Below are 20381 nucleotides of genomic sequence, written 5' to 3'. Positions count from 1 at the left end.
AGGATCACTTGAGGCCAGAAATTTGAGACCACCCTGGGCAACATAGCAAGATTCTCTCTAATATGTGTGTGTGTGTGTGTGTGTGTGTGTTTAAAGAAAAGATTGATAAAACTGGGATTATGTGCTTGAGAAACCAAATGTCTTTGAGTAATTCAACTTACTTTTGCTTTTTCTCCAGTAGTCCATAAGCTCCTCAAAAGCAGATATTGTTTTTTGTTTTGTTTTGTTTTTTTTAAGTCTATACTCAATGAATATCTTTTCTTTTTTTCAAAAGCAGATATTCTGTCTCACTCATTTTGTGCATGTCTTCACTGCCTGACATTCTGCTTGGCAAATAGGTTTTCAATAAGTGTATGATTTTATTTTCTTTTATTACTTTTTATGTAGTGATGAGGTCTTGCTATGTTGCCCAGGCTGGTCTTGAACTCCTGGCCTCAGGCAATCCTTCCACCTTGGCCTCCCAAAGGAGCTGAGATTACAGGCATGAGCCATCATGCCCAACCACCTATGATTTATACTGTATTTCATGAATCATGATCAATGATTTATTAGTGTTATCACTAATTTACTCTATGACTTTGGACAAATAACTACTTCTTATTGTGGTAAAATAAAGTCTAGGCTGGGCATGGTGGTTCACGCCTGTAATCCCAGAACTTTGGGAGGCTGAGGTGGGCGGATCACCTGAGGTTGGGAGTTCGAAACCAGCCTGACCAACATGGAGAAACCCCGTCTCTACTAAAAATACAAAATTAGCCGGGCATAGTGGCGCATGCCTGTAATCCCAGCTACTTGGGAGGCTGAGGCAGGAGAATCACTTGAACCTGGGAGGCGGAGATTGTGGTGAGCCGAGATCGCACCATTGTACTCCAGCCTGGGCAACAAGAGCAAAACTCTGTCTCAATAAATAAATAAATAAATAAAGTCTAAATTGCGACAAAAGTTTATAGAGCCAAACACGAAAGGAAAAACAAAAACCTTATCGCAATTTTGATGACTACAGCAGGCCCTTAAATAATGTTGTTTCATTCAACATTATTTCATTATAATGTTGATCGGGGGGAAAAAAAACAGATTTCCAGCCAGGGCCATTGTCTTTGTGAAGTTTGCAAGATATTCCCATGCCTTTGTGGGTTTCCCCTTACATCCCAAAGATGTGCACATTAGGTTAATTGGTGTATCTAAATTGTCTCAGTATGAGTGAGTGTGGGGGTGTGTGTGAGTGGTATACTGGAATGGTGTCCTGTCCAGGGTGGGTTCCTGCCTTGCACCCTGGGCTGCCAGGATAGGCTCTGGCCGTGCTTGACCCTGAACTAAAATAATTGGGTAAATAATGATCCTGTTTTTATGAATCTTTCTTAAACGTATGTATAGCTCACATTTATTTCAATGTTTAATATAAGAAGTGTTTTGGATCTTTATTTAGAAGTTTGGTGATGTTTTGTGACCAAGGAACTTAACTCTTGTTTATATCAGTTAGCCTATGGTAAAATTGGTTTTATTATATGACATTTCATTTAAAGTCACAGTTTCCAAGAACCTATTGACAACGTTAAAGATTTATGTACTTAGCTAATGGAATAGATCAATAAAGATTTCTTCTTTAATAAATCCACAGGAGTTGGTGACAATCTAGATCGGGGTGGACAAACTTTTCCTGCAAGGGACTAAATAGTAAATATTTTAGATTTTGTGGGCCATACAGTTTTTTTCACAGCTACTCGATTCTTGTAACATGAAAACAGCCTTAGCCAATATGTAAATGAATGGCATAACTATGTTCCGATAAAGTTTTATTTATAAAATCATAGTGGGCCAGACCTGGCCAAAGGGCCATACTTTGGTGACCCCTGATCTAGATTAAGATCTGCTCATAGGCCGGGCGCGGTGGCTCACACCTGTAATCCCAGCACTTTGGGAGGCCGAGGTGGGTGGATCACAAGGTCAGGAGATCGAGACCATCCTGGCTAACACGGTGAAACCCCGCCTCTACTAAAAATACAAAAAATTAGCCAGGTGTGGTGGCGGGCACCTGTAGTCCCAGCTACTCAGGAGGCTGAGGCAGGAGAATGGCGTGAACCCAGGAGGCAGAGCTTGTAGTGAGCCAAGATCACGCCACTGCACTCCAGCCTGGGCAACAGAGCAAGACTCTGTCTCAAAAAAAAAAAAAAAAAAAAAAAAAAAAGATCTGCTCATAGAAAGCTTTGGTGAAACTCACATGTGAAGTTAGGAACCATTGAAAACTATTTTAGGTTGCCAATAGTAATGGCCACAACAGTTATATACATCCCAGTTATATGAAGATTTCTGTAAGGGGCAGAATTATCAATTCTGCTTTGGAATTATCAATTGTGTTTGTAATGAGGAGACTGAATGAAGCAAAGAAGGACCCAGCCAGTCTCATCTATCACTCCCTATAGTTTTACTCCAGCCAGACTAGACCATTCACTATTATCTAAATAAATCTTATCCTTCCCCTTATTTATTATTTTGCTTACTTTGTTTCTCGTATCTAAATGTCTCACTAAAAAAAGAAAATAGTATGTGAAATTTCTATATAAATTTGTCTCCAAATATAGGATGGTAAATGAGACAGAATTGAGTATCAACACATGCTTTTTTTTCCTCAGCTTTTAGAATGATTCCATACCCGTTAGAGAAAGGACATCTATTTTACCCTTATCCCAGCTGCACAGAGACGGCTGATAGAGAGCTATTACCTAGTAAGTAAATATTTTAGTTTTCTTAAACTTAAAAGTAGTAAGTTTAGATTGTTTGTCATAGTATTCTCCATTTTAAAAATGCCTTTGGTTTAAATTCAGGACACTGTTTAAATACTATTTTAGCCACTTCTGGGATGTAGTTGTATAATTCAATTTATTTCCTAATAATTATTGAGCAAAACTCTGTGCTAGATGCAACAAAGGACACCAAGATTAAAGATATTAACAAGAACTGTCATCTTATAAACTTTTAGAAAAGAAATAGTGCCAATCCTTCACAAACTCAGAAAATAAATGAGGAAGGAATACTCCCCAAATCATTTGATGAGAGCAGTATTTTCCTGATACCAAACCAAAGATATGATATAAAAATACTATAAAACAACAGCCCTTATGAATATAGACACAAACATCTTCAACAAAATATTAGGAAACTGAATCCAGCAACATATAGAAAGGCTTATATACCATGACCAAGTGGGATTTACCTCACAAATGCAAGTTTGGTTTAACATCTGAAAATGTAATGTACCATAGTTAATAGAATAAAGCACAGTAGATGCAGAAAAAGCATTTGACAAAATCTGGCTCTCATTCAAGATAAAAAGAAAAAATCTCAGTAAACTACAAATTGAAGGGTACTTCCTCAACCTGATTTAAAAAAAATCCCTGAAAAACCCACAATTAACATTATATTTAATGGAGAAAGACTGAATGCTTTCCCCCTAAGATCGGGAATAAGACAAGGATATCTGTTGTCACCACTTCTATTTAATATTGTACTAGAGGTTCTAGCTGGTGTTACCAGGCAACAAAAAGCAATAAGAGGCACTCGTTATTGGCAAGGAGGAAGTAAAACTCTCTTTATTCAAAGGTGACATGATCTTCTATGTAGGAAATCCTAAGAAATCCATAAAAATACTCTTAGAACTAATAAATGAGTTCAACAGGGTTGTAGAATATAAGATCAATATACTAAAATTAATTATATATCTATATACTAGTAATGAACAATCTGAAAATTGAATTTAGAAAACAATAGCAATCATAGTAGCAACAAAAACTACTTAGGAATAAATTTAACGAAAGAAATTTAAGACATGTACACTAAAATATAGCTGAGAGAAATTAAAGAAAAACTAAATAAATGGAGAGACATTCCATGTTGATGGATTGGAAGACCCAATTTTATTTACTTATTTATTTATTTGAGACCAATTCTCACTCTCACCCAGGCTGGAGTGCAGTGGCGCAATCTCAGCTCACTACAACCTCCGCCTCCTGGGTTCAGGCGATTCTTGTGCCTCAGCCTCCTGAGTAGCTGAGATTACAGGTGCATGCCACCATGCCCGGCTAATTTTTGTATTTTTGGTAGAAACAGGGTTTCGCCATGTTGCCCAGGCTGGTTGCAAACTCCTGGGGTCAAGCAATCCACCTGCCTCAGCCTCCTAAAGTGCTGGGCCTACAGGCGTGAACCACCATGGCTGGCCCCAATATTATTTAGATGACGATTCTCTCCAAATTGATCTATAGATTCAATACAATCGCTATCAAAATCCCAGGAGGGATTTTTCACACACACACACACACACACACACACAAAGTAACAAGCTTATTCTAAAATGTATATGGAAAGGCAAAGGACCCAAACAATCTTTATGAAGAAGAACGAATTGAAAAAGAGCAGTCAAAGAACTAGAAGGAGAACCGGAAATATGTAGGATTATGATTGCTGGTAGTGTTTCAGTCTAGTTCCTGCCTTTAGGAAGCCAGACTTCTCAAAAGAACAGTCTACACTTTGTGTCTCAGCTGCCTTATCATCTGTTCTTTCCTCTGTAAACTAGTAAATTTCTGTTTAACTTCTCTTTTTATGATTTAGCTGAGAAGCAACCATGCCGAAGGCTATAAACACTAGGACCATGTTTTCTTATGTGATATAAACCTGTGCTACAGTTTTTACAATACTGAGCCATTAAAACTGAAGTCTAGGAAGGAAAATTGCAGGTTTACAACTATCAAACTTAACTAGTTGATAAGTTTAAACTGATAAATGAAAATTTAGGAGAGATTATGGCAAATTGAGTATGCTGGTGTTTTTCTCCTAATGTTTTTTATTTTCCTTTATCTGCTAAGTGATCTCTTCCTACTCTGAATTCTCAAAGTGCTTTGTGTACTTCTTAATCTCCCCTTTTAGATTGTAAACTCCTTGAAGGCCAGGATTCTCTTCTTTTTTTGTTTTTTGAGATGGAGTTTCCGTCCTTGTTGCCCTGACTGGAGTGCAATGGTCTGATCTCGGCTCACTGCAACCTCTGCTTCCCAGGTTCAAGTGATTCTCCTGCCTCAACCTCCAGAGTAGCTGGGATTACAGGCACCCACCATCACGCCCAGCTAATTTTTTTTGTATTTTTAGTACAGACAGGGTTTCACCATGGTGGCCAGGCTGGTCTTGAACCCCTGGCCTCAAGTGATCCACCCGCCTTGGCCTCCCAAAGTGCTAGGATTACAAGTGTGAGCCACTACACCTGGCCATTGTTCCTGTATCTCTTATAATGGTTACCATAAAAATTGGTATTCAATAAATATTGGTTGAATTAATCAAATTCATTAATTTATTCTTATAAACATGGCTGGCACATTGTAAGTACTTAACTAAAATGCTAAATATTAGTGCCTTCTCCCTCTCACCCTATTCTGAACTCCTAGGCTGCTAACAAGGTTGATAAAAAGATGATGGACAGGCCAGGAACGATGGCTCACGTTTGTAATCCCAGCACTTTGGGAGGCTGAAGCGAGCGGATCACCTGAGGTCAGGAGTCCGAGACCAGCCTGGCCAACATGGAGAAACCCCATTTCTACTAAAACTACAAAAAATTAGCCCGGCATGGTGGCACATGCCAGTAATCTCAGCTACTTGGAAGGCTGAGGCAGGAGAATCGCTTGAACCTGGGAGGCGGAGGTTGCAGTGAGCTGAGACTGCACTCCAGCCTGGGCAACAGAGTAAGACTCTGTCTCCAAAAAAAAAAAAAAAAAAAAAAAAAAGATGACAAAGATGACAGACAATGTGTTAAGTGCTACATGTATGGAATACATTATAAGAAAGCTTGAGAAGGGCCAGACATGGGGCTCACGCCTGTAATCCCAGAACTTTGGGAGGCTGAGCTGGGCGGATCACTTGAGGTCAGGAGTTCAAGACCAGCCTGGCCAACATGGCAAAACCCCATCTCTACTAAAAATACAAAAGTTAGCCAGGTGTGGTGGCTTGCGCCTGTAATCCCAGCTACTCAGGAGGCTGAGGTAGGAGAATTGCTTGAACCCAGGAGGTGGAGGTTGCAGTGAGCCGAGATCGTGCCACTGCACTCCAGCCTGGGTGACAAAGCAAGACTCTGTCTCAAAAAAAAAAAAAAAAAGAAAGAAAGAAAGCTCTAGAAGGGAGGGCCTAGCTATCTAGGAGGTCAAGAATGATTCTCAATTTTCTGACTTCGGTGACTTGGAGAATGGTAAATCTATCCTATATCAGGAGGAGCCAATTTGGGAATAGGGGTTAGGGAAATAAATAAGTTCAAGCTTTGACTATGTTGCCTGTGTAACATCTCATCCATATATACATACATACCTGTATATGTGTATATATATATGTACATATATAGAGATTTATATGCTTAAATATTTTCTTGTATAATCTACTTAACACATATACATACAAGTCTATATTTTCCTCTCTCTAAATAATATATAGGTATAGATATATTTTTAAGTTATGTATATAATGTATATTATGAAGTATACATATAATATTTATAATTAGTGAATGTTGTAGGCATAAGTAATAGAGAGCAACTTCAAACTAGCTTAAATATAAATAGTAATTTGTTGGAAGAACACTGGGTTATCAGAGAACTCAATAGCAACAATTATATTTGGACTTCATAAGGGACTAGAACTGGGGACTAGAAAGCCATTAGGATTTCCAGGAATCAGTTATTTGTATATCTCTCTGTCCCTGGCTGCTTTTTTCAGTCTTTCCTATTCTTACTTTCCTTTCCTTCATCCCCAGCCCCATTTTCTCCTTCTGTGTTCTGTCGTTTCTGTTTCTCTCAGTGTATCCACTTCATTCTTACATCTTTCTCTTTACAGTTTGGCTTTCCCTTCATAGACAACCATGTGGCCAAACTTGAGGCCCCTACAGCCCTCTATTTACATGTCATGAGTTCAGGCAGACAATACAGAATGAATAATATCTCAATCCCACTTTTTCTTTTCTCTCTTTTTTTTTTTTTTTTTTTTGAGTTAGGATTTCACTGTCACTCAGGCTGGAATGCAGTGGTGCAGTCACGGCTCACTGCAGCTTCGACTTCTCAGGCTCAAAATATCCTCCCCACTCTGCCTCCTGAGTAGTTGGGACCACAGGCATGTGCCACCATGCCTGGCTAATTTTTGTATTTTTGGTAGAGGTGAGGTTTCACCATGTTGCCCAGCTTGGCCTTGAACTCCTGAGCTCAAGTGATCTGCCTGCCTCAACAGGTGTTGGGAATACAGGTGTGAGCCACTGCACCCAGCCTCAATCCCACTTCTAAAACTTCTGGGAGAGAGAATCAGATTTATCCAGGTGTTTATTCCTTGTCCAGTCAGCTGTAGCCTAAAGACAGGATTAGGTTGTGTAAATAAAATTGCCAGCGGTCCTCATATATCTTCCTCTGTACATCTCAAAAAACAGAATTGGGAGTCATTATTTTCTAGGTAGCAAAAGAAGTCGTAGGCATAAATGAAATCACTAAGGAAAACTGTATACAGTGAGAATTGAACTGAGGGTGGAACCATGGATGCACAGAAATGTCTAAGCAATGAGTGGCAGAATGACAGTTGAAGATTCAGTGAAGAGGTTGTCAGAGAGACAGGACAAGAACTAAAACTAAATATGCTAGAACTAAAAGGAAGAAGAAATTTCCAAGTGAGGAGTAATATCCAAGATAATAGGTAAGGTAAATACTAAGAAGAATCCATTGACTTTAGCAATTAAGATGTCATTAATGAGAGAAATTTTATTTTCCTTTCTAAAGAGGTGGTGGTGGTAGTTCTTGTTGTCTTTCCATTTTAACAGGAACAAATATATTTAAGGCAAAAGAATGGACCTTAAATTATGGAACATCAATATGCAAGAGTATATTATATTAAGCTAATACATTTAGCCTAAAATAATGCCCTCCTTTGTAAATTATTGCAAAGGTTGTCTAATATAAGGCCAATTTTACATAGTAATATGAATAAAATCAGGGTTATTATGTTGTCAAAGCTGTAAGCTATAAGACCAGACAGTTTATTCTTGGCAAGCCTTTATTCTAACTTGGTGCAAACTCCAGAAGGTAGGAGAGGGGGAATATGCTGGGGGGTTTTGTTTGATTATATTTTATGTTCTTAGAGTATTTTTTTCTGTCTCTGACTGTGGAAGAATGAACAAATTGTTAACAATAAGGAGTTTTAATACCCAGGAGTACTTAATGTTTTTTGTTTTTAATTTTCCTTCAACTTTGATATGACTTACCGCATTCTGGAATTTGCTTATGGACCTCATAAGTTCAGAGTTGAACTATTCCCCTAGTTCACATAGCTATTTAGTCGTCTTTTATGCCTTCTGATAAATTTTTCTCTACAAGCCAGTGATGAAATTTGAACTTTCGTTCCAAGGGAGTGTTTCTGTAATAGTCATCCATTATTTTGATGTATTAGCCAAACATTGACTGACAAATGAATCTACAGAAAGCAATCCAGGAAGAAATAATTAGGTCTCTCTTACAGTATAAAAATCTCATATTTTAGGAAATTTCCTCACTAAAGCTATGCAGTTTTCTACCTTATAAAGTGAGAATACTACTATCTCTTAGGGTTACTGAAAAGAATTAAATGAGCTAATATAAATTAAAGTTCTTTATAAACCATAAAATGCTATATAGGTTAGGTAATATTACTAACTTTGCTGTCTTGTATGTGTTTCCCACCTTCTTGAATAGCAGGGTTTGTTTCTCTTGATTTGAAGTTGGGAAGAAGAAGAAGTTGGCCTCTCATGGCTGAGGGACAGGGCAAAGGGGATTGCTGACTGGTTCTTTGGGTGCTGAAAGCACAATGTTCTCTACAGTTTCTAATGTTTCTAACTTTTAAAACTTCCATTTTGATGTGCTTTTACTTTAATCATGGCTCAAGGTTCTGGACATTTTCTGGATTTTTAATGGGTTTGTGTTTTGGTATATACTTTCTGAATATAGTAAAATAAAAATTAAAATATAGCTGTTGAAGGAAGCTTAGGTGTAATCTCTGTGAATCATTATGTTTTAAAAGTGAAATTTATAGCTGACCTTGGTTCAGCACAAAATTAGTCATCCCTTACTAATGCAGGATATTACATCAGAAATTCCTGGGTTAGTATCCAGCCCTAAGCGGTCAACTTCCTGGCCTAATGAAGTCCCAGAATAGCTCTCAGTTTAGCAGACATTTATTGAGCACCTACTGCATGTTAAGTACTCTAATAGGCTCATCTCAGTATTGTTATTCAAGTATTTTCAAATTTCAAATAAAATATAAATACTTGAGTATAATTGATAACGAAATATCCAATCACTAGAAAAATAATAGCTGAGTAAATATGTAAATATGGTAAAATAAGACAAGGGACTTTATTTATGGTCAGAATCCTAGGCCTTCAGTTTGCTAGTTTAGGTTTTTTTTTTTTTTTTTTTTTTTGAGATAGAGTCTCACTCTGTTGCCCAGGCTAGAGTGCAGTGGCATGATCTTGGCTCACTGCAACCTCTGCCTCTCAGGTTCTAGCGATCCTCCTGCCTCAGCCTCCCAAGTAGCTGTGACTATAGGTGCACGTCACCATGCCTGGCTAATCTTTCTATTTTTAGTAGAGATGGGGTTTCACTATGTTGGCCAAGCTGATCTCAAACCCCTGAACTCAAATGATTCACCTGCCTCGGCCTCCCAAAGTGCTGGGATTACAGACATGAGCAACCACACCTGGCCTACCTACTTTATTTATTAATTAATTTACATATTTATTTTTGAGACAGAGTCTTGCTCTGTTGCCAGGCTGGAGTGCAGTGGCACAATCCCAGCTCACTGCACCCTCCGCCTCCCGGGTTCAAGCGATTTTCCTGCTCAGCCTTCCTGAGTAGCTGGGACTATAGGCGCGTGTCACCACGCCCACCTAATTTTTATATTTTTAGTAGAGACGGGGTTTCACCATGTTGGCCAGGATGGTCTCGATCTCCTGACCTCGTGATCCACCCGACTTAGCCTCCCAAGGTGCTGGGATTACAGGCGTGAGCCACTGCTCCCGTCTTACCTACTTTAGTTTTACAGTGCCTAATGAAATGCCACATATATAAACACATTAATAACTGGGTAAAATTATTAACTGATGGTCCTAGGAAATCACCAATGACATGTCTGCCTCTTTCTCCATACTAGTCTTTGAGCTCCCAAAGAACAATAATTAATAACAACTCAATGCCAGGTGTGGTGGCTTATACCTGTAATCCCAGCGCTTTGGGAGGCCGAGGTGGACGGATCACTTTAGGCCAGGAGTTTGAGACCAGCCTGGCCAACATGGCAAAACCCCTCTCTACTAAAAATACAAAAAAGTAGCTGGGCGTAGTGGCCTGTGCATGTAATCCCAGCTACTTGGGAGGCTAAGGCACAAGAGTCACTTGAACCTGGGTGGCAGAGGTTGCAGTGAGCCGAGATCATGTCACTGCACTCCAGCCTAGGCAACAGAGCGAGACTCTTCTTCTTCAAAAAAAAAAGTAGCAACTCAAATGTATTTATTTATTTATTTATTTATTTATTTATTTATTTATTTAGAGACAGGTCTGTCACCCAGGCTGGAGTGCAGTGGAATGATCATAGCTCACTGCAGCCTCAAACTCCTGGGTTCCAGTGATTTTCCCATCTCATCCTCCAGAGTAGCTGGACCTACAGGCACACACCACCATGCTGGGCTAATTTTTAAAATTTTTAAAAATTTTTAAGCACGATTTTGCTTAGGTTAGTGTCGCATGCCTGGCTTTAAGCGATCCTCCTCTTTGGCCCCCCAAAGCGCTGGGATTACAGACGTGAACCACCACCTGTGGCTGCAACTCACATTAAGCACTTAAAATGTTCATCATTACAACTCTCCATAGCAACTTCTAGAGGGTTTAGCAACTTATTCAAGATCACATAGCTAATAAGTGACAAAGCTTTTTTTCAAAATCACCTCAGCATGATTTTGTAATCAATATTCTTTCCCATGACGCCATCCTGTTCCCACACCCAGCACAGTTGTCTGGCTATTTAGATATGCTGTTGATGCTGGGATAAATAATGGATAACTGTCTTCTACCTTGCTTAGCCAGAGACTTTCCTTTTTAAATTTTTTTTCTTTTTAATTTTTAAAAACAGATTTCATTTGAAAAGATTAAGACTTGTTTACATGTTATTCTGAAATAAAATTGATTCTTACCTATTCTCCATTGCAGCCTTTCATCATGTTTCTGTTTACCCAAAAAAGGAGCTTCCTTTGTTCATCCATTTCACAGCAGGATTTTGCTCTTCTACAGCAATGATAGCCATTCTCACTCACCAGTTTCCTGAAATCATGGGTATTTTTGCTAAAGCTGTAAGTATGATCTCAAGGACTTGTGTAGATTATTTGTAAAACACACAAGAAACCATCTCTGATCTGCCTGTGCTAACCCAGCTGAACAATGGAAGATATTTGTTGTAAATTAAAGGAATTGATTTGTATATAGTTGCTGCCATAAATACATCAAACATAAATTTTTGGTGATTTGAGCTACTTCTGTTGCTTAAAAGTTTAAAGAATACAATATAAGATTGTAACAATATAACATTATAAAGTTTGCTCTTATAGATCACTTTTGGTGATAAACAGCATTTGTTACTATCTTTGGTATTTTTAAAAATACCCTATTTTGTAAACAAACCCTTTGATTTTTTTCATTTAAATGAAATCATTAGTTCTCAGGATTTGTTGAACTTTAAACTCAAGAGCACAACTAGGATGGATAATAAGTACATAAGGCGGGGGAACAGATGGGACATTTGTCCCTAGGTACAGAATGTGCCTATGTCTCAAAGGTTCTCCAAGTTATTGTGTCTGCTTGTTCTTACTTCCCCAGACTTGGATATAGAACCATGTGTAGTTCTATATTTTCATTTTTACCCTTTAGTTTTGAACTACTTCCCCATTTCCTGAACCAGTTAACACTTGAGGACTGATACTAGAGTGGGTATCCCATCACTATTTACTTTTTTTTTTTTTTCTGAGACAAGGTCTCGCTGTGACCCAGGCTGGAGTGCAGTGGTACGATCTCAGCTCACTGCAGCCTCCGCCTCCTGGGTTCAACAGTCCTCCCGCCTCAGCCCCCCGAGTAGCTGGGACTATAGGCACATGCCACCATGCCCAGCTAATGTTTGTATTTTTTGTAGAGGCAGGGTTTTGCCATGTTGCCCAGGCTGGTCTTGAACTCCTGGGCTCAAGTGATCTGCCCGCCTCAGCCTCCCAAAGTGCTGGGATTACAGGCATGAGCCGCCATGCCCAGCAACTATTTACTTTTCTATATGAACTTATTAATGTCACTGGCTCAAAGTAAAATTAGCAAAGATAATTGCCTTTAAGTCTCCAAGCCTTTTTAAAAATGCATCTTTCTTGTACATCTTTGCATTTCTACCAGGTAGTAGGAGTTAAAACCCAAAAAGAAAATGCTGATTAATTATATTCCCAAAAATGAAAACACTGAGAACCATGGAAAAACTAGTCCTTACTTGGTAATGTATTTTCTGTATTTTTCTCTATATGCCTCCATTCTAACTTGTTTCCTCACAGTTTCTTTTTCTGCCTTAAGAATAGTTTATTTTGTGCCTTAAAGATTAGTTGGCTTTTTTCTGGCACCAGTGGTAAGAGCAGTGGTTTCCCTTTTTCCCTGAAGGTCAACCATATAATGTGTTAAGTTGCCACTGGCTGTAGGCCTAGGAGTCTGAGTCTGCACTTGATTCTGGGTCAAACTTCAAGAAGAATGACTTTCCACTGTTGTTCAGGGAGTATAGCTATTTGGTTTGGAAACTGACTATTCTATTTCTTTTCAGTGTAAAATGAACACTTAGTGATCATACTCATAACTGTTATTTGCAGTAGTGCTAATAGTTGAGTGAGTGCATCTCAAACTGAAATGACCTTACTATGTAATCTGGCATCGAATAAAAATGGCCTAGAAAGAGAATTCCATCCATTTAATAGCTGGAAAGAAAATGTGCAACTGTGTATGTGAGATCACAGGCAAGCAATGGGAGAGATGATTCTTGGATTTGTCTCAGGCAAGTGGAGTGGGAAGGAAGTGAAATAGAGCAAGGAGGGAGATCTAGAATCTGGAATAGATCTATACCAACTGTTAGTAGTATATTTCCATGGGGTGCAAGCTACAATTAATGTTTATAGTGTCTGCCTTTACCTAGGCAGTCACTAATGGCACCAGAAGAATCTTTACGATTACATAGCATAAGTTCCTTAGCACTCCTCTAGTAGAGACTGAGAATGAATAATTACATATTTTAAATGGAAGCTTCTTTTTCAGACCAAAAGTTATTGATATACTGCTTTTCTAGTTGATGGATAATAAACAAGCATTTATTTTGGTATCTGTATAGGTGATGGTATATAGTGTTAAGAATGTGCCTAATGGTAAACTTTTACAGCCACATTTTTATCCCTGTGGCCTTTACATGTACATTTTAAAACCCTAAAAGCTAAGTATTTACTGAAAGTTCCTGCAAACCAATATTTGTGCAGGATTTCCAAAGGCAGGTTCCATTTAAGAGTTAATGGGAAATGACTGTGGTATGGGCAGTTTCCAGCTTTCTTTTCTTTTTCTTTTTCTTTTTTTTTTTTTTTTTTGAAACAGAGTCTCGCTCTGTCACCCAGACTAGAGTGCAATGGCGTGATCTCAGCTCACTGCAACCTCCGCCTTCTAGGTTCAAGCAGTTTTCCTGCCTCAGCCTCCCACATAGCTGGGACTACAGGCACGTGCCACAACGCCCAGCTAACTTTTGTATTTTTAGTAGAGATGGGGTTTTGCCATGTTGGCCAGGCTGGTCTCGAACTTCTGACCTCAAGTGATCAACCCACCTTGGCCTCCCAAAGTGCTGGGACTACAGGCGTGAGCCACCGCACCCGGCCAGTTTCCAGCTTATAAACACAATGTGTAGATGCCTTTATAGACAGACAAACAGCAAGGGAACTAAAGGCTTAAATTACACTTCTTCACCACTTCACAGTGTTTGCTCTATGCAGTAGGAGCATCACCATCACCCAGGAGCTCATGAAAAATGCATAACTTCAGGCACCATTCCAGACCTTCTGAATCAGAATCTACATTTTAACAAGATCCCCAGGTGATCCTATATATACATTTAAAGCTTGGAGAAACTTGCTGTACTCTACCCCCAATAAGAGGAATTTAGAACAGCTCGATAGTGCTGCCTTGTCAAGGTGGAAAAGAGGCAGCATTGCAGAGTCATTATGAAATAGATTCTGGAGGCAGGCTGCTTTGCTTTGAATTCTAGCCCTGAAACAATGCTGTACAACCTCGGGTTAGTTACTTAACCTTTTCTACCCTTAGTTGTAAAATGAGAATAATACTACCTCTCATGGGTTTTGGTGAGCGTTAAATGACTTTAAAATATGCAAGTGTTAGGACTATGTCTACCCACAGTAAAAACTAGGTGAGTGTTAGCTGTTGTTGCTACCTTTATTGTCATCATCATCACCAAAGTGCAATAGTGGGAAACCCTACCCCCTTCTTGTTTAAAGGAGATATGTCCTAACAGTCAGCTCAAAATGCATTTTTCCATAGAAACTGTAGTATAAATGGTGATTGGGTATAATTTTTAAAACACTATTAGTAGGCCAGGTGCAATGGCTCTCGTGCTTGTAATCCCAGCACTTTGGGAGGCCAAGGCAGGCGGATCACTTGAGCTCAGGAGTTCATGACCAGCCCGGGTAACATGGTGAAACCCCATCTCTTCCAAATATACAAAAAAATTAGCCAGGCGTGGTGGTGTGCACCTGTGGTCCCAGCTATTCAGGGGGCTAAAATGGGAGGATCGCTTGAGCCTGGGAGGTGGAGGCTGCAGTGAGCCATGATTTCACTATTGCACTCCAGCCTGGGCAACAGAGCAAGACCCTGTCTCAAAAAAAATACTGTAATACTATGCTTCTGGCACATTATGTGTATATGAATGTAGAAGGTGAAGAAATGTTTCAGGTTCTAGGCACTGGCAAACTACCTTGTAGAACAGAACCTGTTGGTAAGCTGCAAACTGTCTGTGTTAGCATTTCCAGTTAATTCAGATATTTGATGGCCAAATAAAGTAGAAATTGGTGAAGAATCTTTGAGACATACTTGTTCTACTTCAGAAGACAGACTTTTTAAAAATTTCCTAAATTTCTTTATTGTTACCATTGTCTCTTTCTCATCTAATATCTTTTCATAATAGCTCACATGCCAGAGCAAATTGAGTTTGAATTTCTTAAAATGCATTTGTTAAAAAAATTGTGTTATGGTGAGGCCAGGCACTGGACACTGATTTTAAATAATTCTCACTGTACATCAGATTTAGAGAAATGAAAGGGAATGAACTAGAATGGCTAATGGTTTTAGTGCCTCTTCTTTTGCATGGTATACGGCTATGTGGAATAGACTTCATTTTTAGCAAGTTAGGACTTTTTTCCCCTGATTTTTCTCCTGGCTGAGATGAAAACCTAGTCTGACATTAGACACAGAGCAATGAAAAAGTGTTGCATAAATCCCTGGAGATGTGGAATGTGCTTATATCAGAGCTGATATTCTCTAAGGCCAGAATTCCTGAAAAAGGAAAAATTGCTTTTAAGTGGTAGGTCATTTTCTCACCTGCTTTGAAGCCTGCTGGATTAAATATGAGAGTTCAAAGTAAGGGTAGCCAGCAAACCAACTGAACTGGAATCTGATTCTGCTTATCTGAAAGGAGCTTCTTTATTTAACAACAGCACTGCCCTCTCCTTAGAGAACCAATCTTCTACTCTGGCCCCTTTAATTTCTCTTGCAAGAAAAGTGTTCTTCTTAGCAAGGCTTGGGAAGGTATTATCACAACAGTGAAAAGACTTAAAGATGGTCTTGGGGGTTTCACTAACTTACTGACAAACTCAGACTTGTGGTATGTGACTTTAGTGTTTTGAATTCAGAAGTGTGTTTAAATATTAAAGTCTCTAATTGGGGCCAGTCATGGTGGCTCACGCCTGTAATCTCAGCACTTTGGAAGGCTGAGGCCTGCGGATCACTTGAGGTCAGGAGTTAGAGACCAGCCTGGCCAACATGGTGAAACCCCGTCTCTACTAAAAATACAAAAAAAATTAGCTGGGCGTGGTGGTACTTGCCTGTAATCCCAGCTACTTGGGAGGCTGAGGCAGGAGAACTGCTTGAACCTAGAAGGCGGAAGTTGCAGTGAGCCGAGATCGCGTCGCTGCACTCCAGCCTGGGTAACAGAGTGAGACTCCATCTCAAAAAAAAAAAAAGTCCCTAGTTGGGTTTTAACTAAACAGGGTAGTCTTTGCAATTTTGGCAGAAAAGGGTGTTACAGGTAAAGGTAGGAATCAGAGATTCCCAAATAAATTGTCTGTTTTAGTACAGCAAAACTTTGTTGAAGTTTGTTTTACTGAACGCATATTGTAGCTGTGCTGCGGTGGGAATGGGCTTTGTTTCCACATATTTCTACTAATCTTTATGTGGGAAAATGTGGTTGGACATGCCAATGATGAATTTCTGAGCAACTCATAATTGGCTGGCTCCACTGTAACTAGGGCCTTACAATCTGCTTGATTAATTCTTTAAGGACTACATTAGCCAAGTTGCATGATTTCCAAAGATATAGAAGGTCAGATGTTACACTAACAAAGAACCTCTCTACAGAATGTCTCACTGGGGTTTCTTTAGTCCCTTCTCAAAAATAATTAAAATTTTTCTTCCCAAATTACATTTTTAAAAGAATAAGCAGATATAAATGCCAAGTGTCTTTTACTGAAAAGTGAACAAAACTTTTGGGAAGATTTGTCCACTATTCTTACCATTTTTTTCAGGGAAAAGATTGATCTTCAGAACCGGGGGAGTTAATAAACAATTATAACTATATATTAATGTATACCAATTGAAAAATATATGTTTTTTTAAAGGTTCTGAGTTTTCCATTATTATAACCTGTGACATGATAGTTGTATACTTCTTTATTAAATTCCTAGGGCCACATTCAGAAATTAAATTAATGATTAAAATAAATTTCTTCACTTTGTTTGAAAATGGATTACTTTCAAAGCTATGAGACTTTTTTAGTTCGTAAGAACTGATACAGTTTTAAAAACATTTTGAAATGTAACTAAACTTACATTTCTGTAAAATATTCTATAACCATGCTATTTCCACAGTTATAAATCTGAGTTGTTTCCCAGAGATAATACAGATAATAAAATAAACCTATTGTGTGACAGGTCAAAATTTTTAAATGTTTACATATTTGTTCCATTGTTGGTGCATCTAAAGTCTTTATTTGGGCAGTCTCGCATATTCAATTTTAATTTTCTTTACTAACTGGGATTTTGGATCAAGAGAAAAGACGTTCTCTACCTCCTAGAAGGGTATTTCTCATGTTTCATCCTTGTTTTTCTGCTTCAAAAAGAACCAAACTAAGAAATTTGTGAAATTGCTGGTATTATTATTCATCCAGATTTTCTAAGCACTGAGCTCTTCTAAGGGGGAAAGAAAATAATAAAAGTTAGGAAAATGTACTTTTTTTTTTTTTTGAGACAGAGTCTCACTCTCTCACCCAGGCAGGAGTGCAGTGGTGCCATCTCGGCTCACTGCAACCTGGGCTCAAGTGATCCTCCCACCTCAGCCTCCCGAGTAGCTGGGACTACAAGTATGTGCCTCCATGCTAGGCTAATTTTTAAAAATTTGTTATAGAGATGGGGTCTCACTTTGTTGCCCAGGCTGGTCTCCAACTCCTGAGCTCAAGCAATCTGTCCACACCGGCCTACCAAAATGCTGGGATTACAGGCTTGAGCCACCGTGCCCAGCCATGTCAATGTACTTCTTCTTCTTCATCTTCTTCTTCTTCTTCTTCTTCTTCTTATTATTATTAGTATTATTATTTGGAGACAGAGTCTGCCTCTGTTGCCCAGGATGGAGTGCAGTGGCACCATCTGGGCTCACTGCAATCTCCACCTTCCTGGCTCAAACCATATGCCCACCTCAGCCTCCCAAGTAGTTGGGACTACAATATGTACCACCATGCCTGGCTAATTTTTGTATTTTTGGTAGAGACAGGGTTTCACCATGTTGGCCAGGCTAGTCTTGAACTCCTGAACTCAAGTGATCCACCCACCTGGGCCTCCCAAAGTGCTGGGATTACAGGTGTGAGCCACTGCGCCCAGCCAACAATATACCGTTTAACGCATGTGTATATCCCTTCCCCAGGGTTTAATTCAGTTTTAAAGTTGGTAGAAAGTATCCTTTTTTCCCATTAACATGTGCCTGTCAAGTATGAGGTTCACAGAAGCTCTCCCAGAATTTGTTTCACATATGTTTAATCATCTTTTTTCCCCCTCAAAGTGAAAATCTCATTGCTAAAATTTAGGACATCATGTCACTAACTGCTACTGATATATTTATTGCTTAATCATTAGCGCTTGGGACACATGGAGTGCTTAGCAGTTTTTAGAAGAGCTGTGCTTAGATAGTGATATAAATCACTCATTCGAAACCCATTCTCCTAGTGATATTATAATTCACAATAGGAAACACTGATCTTTGTTTTAGAAAACATCTCTATCTTGCAGACCCAGCATAGTCCTCTAAATTGGGAGAATCATGGGGTACAGAAGAAAATTATAATATTGAGGAATAGTTTTTAGCTTTTATCTTGGTGGAGTTTGGCTCCCTTCCCCTACCAATCAAATGAACTAAATTAGTGAGACTACATAATATATTACAATTCTAAACCAAGAGTAACTCAGACTTCAGTTAGTGCTTCATTTTTTAAAAGAGATTATACTTATATCCTCATTTATTCTTACTGGAGCCATTGGAACATAGACTTACCGAAACCATGGGAACATTATAGATGTAAAGTTTGAGTCATCAAAGTTAAGTGATGTGCCTAAAATTACACAATTGATAAGATAGCTTATTACTTTTAGTCATGATACATACTTTTGATTTCAATAATATATCACTTCATAACTTACACTGAAATGAGTACAAAAGAATAAATTTCATACCAGAGATAGTAATGCTGAGGGAATAGAGAATGACAGAGTGGTGATATCCAGTGGCTTGCTAGAGAAACTTTCCTAAAAGAGTTAAATTTGGAGAAGAGTTTTAAATGAAGATACTGATGTGGATTGTCAGAAAAATAAAAAGGGTGCTTAGGTTGGAGAAATGTTTACTGCAAAGACAAGTATCAGTGGGCAAATAAGCTGCCTGGGAGTACTCTTCACAGTTTAAGTCTGTTTGATGAACTCCAATGCTTTAAAATAAAGAATGAAAGCTGTGCATGGTGGCTGACACCTGTAATCCCAGCACTTTGGGAGGCTGAGGTGGGAGGATTGCTTGAGCCCAGGAGTTCGAGACCAGCCTGGGCAATTACAGTAGTAATTATAGTAGTAAGAGCTCATAAAAATGAAAAGTAAAAATAAAAACAAATTAGCCAGGCATGGTGGCGCACCCCTGTAGTTTCAGCTACTTAGAAGGCGGAGACAGGAGAATCATCTGAGCCCAGGAGTTGGAGGTTATGGTAAGCCATGATAGCAACACCACATTCCAGCCTGGGACACAGAGCAAGACCTTGTCTTAAATAAATAGGTACATACATACATATATACATAAATTAATTACTTAAAAATAAAGAACTCAGCCGGGCGTGGTGGTTCACGCCTGTAATCCCAGCACTTTGGGAGGCCAAGGCAGGTGGATCATGAGTCAAGAGATCAAGACGATCCTGGCCAACATGGTGAAACCGCGTCTCTACTAAAAATACAAAAATTGGCTGGGCGTGGTGGCGCGCCTGTAGTCCCAGCTACTTGGGAGGCTGAGGCAGGAGAATCACTTGAACCCAGGAGGCCAAGATTGCCGTGAGCCAGGATCACGCCACTGCACTCCAGCCTGGCAACAGAGCGAGACTCCATCTCAAAAAAAAAAATAAAATAAAATAACGCACATATGCTTTTCTTTCAAACTGATTCATTCCAATGTCATTCCTCTTGCTAGTTAGCTACTTAAGAAAGAATGCCGCTTGGTCATTTACATTGCATACTCAAACGTTACTGCATAGACTTCAGCCTCTCTAAGTGCTTAAAATGTACAATAATACTAAAGAAACAGTAAGCCCTGGTTTGTAATGATTCAGAGGGAATTTGACTCTCAAGTTACTTTTTTAAAGTTTTAATATGAAGTATAAATGTATACCTTATGTTTCAATATCAGTCTTCTTTCAAAATCAAAGGGCAAGTTTGTGAAGGATTGTAGGGGAAAGATAAACTGAACATAATAAACTTTTGGTCTAAAATATCATAACCTATAACTT

The 20381-nt window shown here is 38.9% G+C and overlaps 1 protein-coding gene across 24 annotated transcripts in view; it reads left to right on the top strand.

Annotated features, from left to right (window-relative positions):
• ST7L (suppression of tumorigenicity 7 like) overlaps nucleotides 1-20381 on the top strand; it is a 101882-nt gene that overhangs the window by 66361 nt on the left and 15140 nt on the right. For 13 of the 24 annotated variants that reach the window (XM_011541628.3, XM_011541631.4, XM_047423352.1 and 10 more), the window contains 2 exons: nucleotides 2631-2723; nucleotides 11234-11373. In XM_011541628.3, the coding sequence (XP_011539930.1) occupies nucleotides 2631-2723; nucleotides 11234-11373 (233 nt within the window). Of the gene's footprint in view, nucleotides 1-2630; nucleotides 2724-11233; nucleotides 11545-12451; nucleotides 12546-20381 lie in introns of those variants that run through there. The other 11 variants (XR_007061293.1, XR_007061297.1, XM_047423368.1 and 8 more) reach the window with 7 other exon arrangements.

The sequence above is a fragment of the Homo sapiens genome, chromosome 1 (assembly GCF_000001405.40).
Source record: "Homo sapiens chromosome 1, GRCh38.p14 Primary Assembly".
Taxonomy (NCBI): domain Eukaryota; kingdom Metazoa; phylum Chordata; class Mammalia; order Primates; family Hominidae; genus Homo; species Homo sapiens.
Note: the sequence above shows the minus strand (reverse complement) of the source record. Positions and strands in the feature narration are given on the sequence as shown.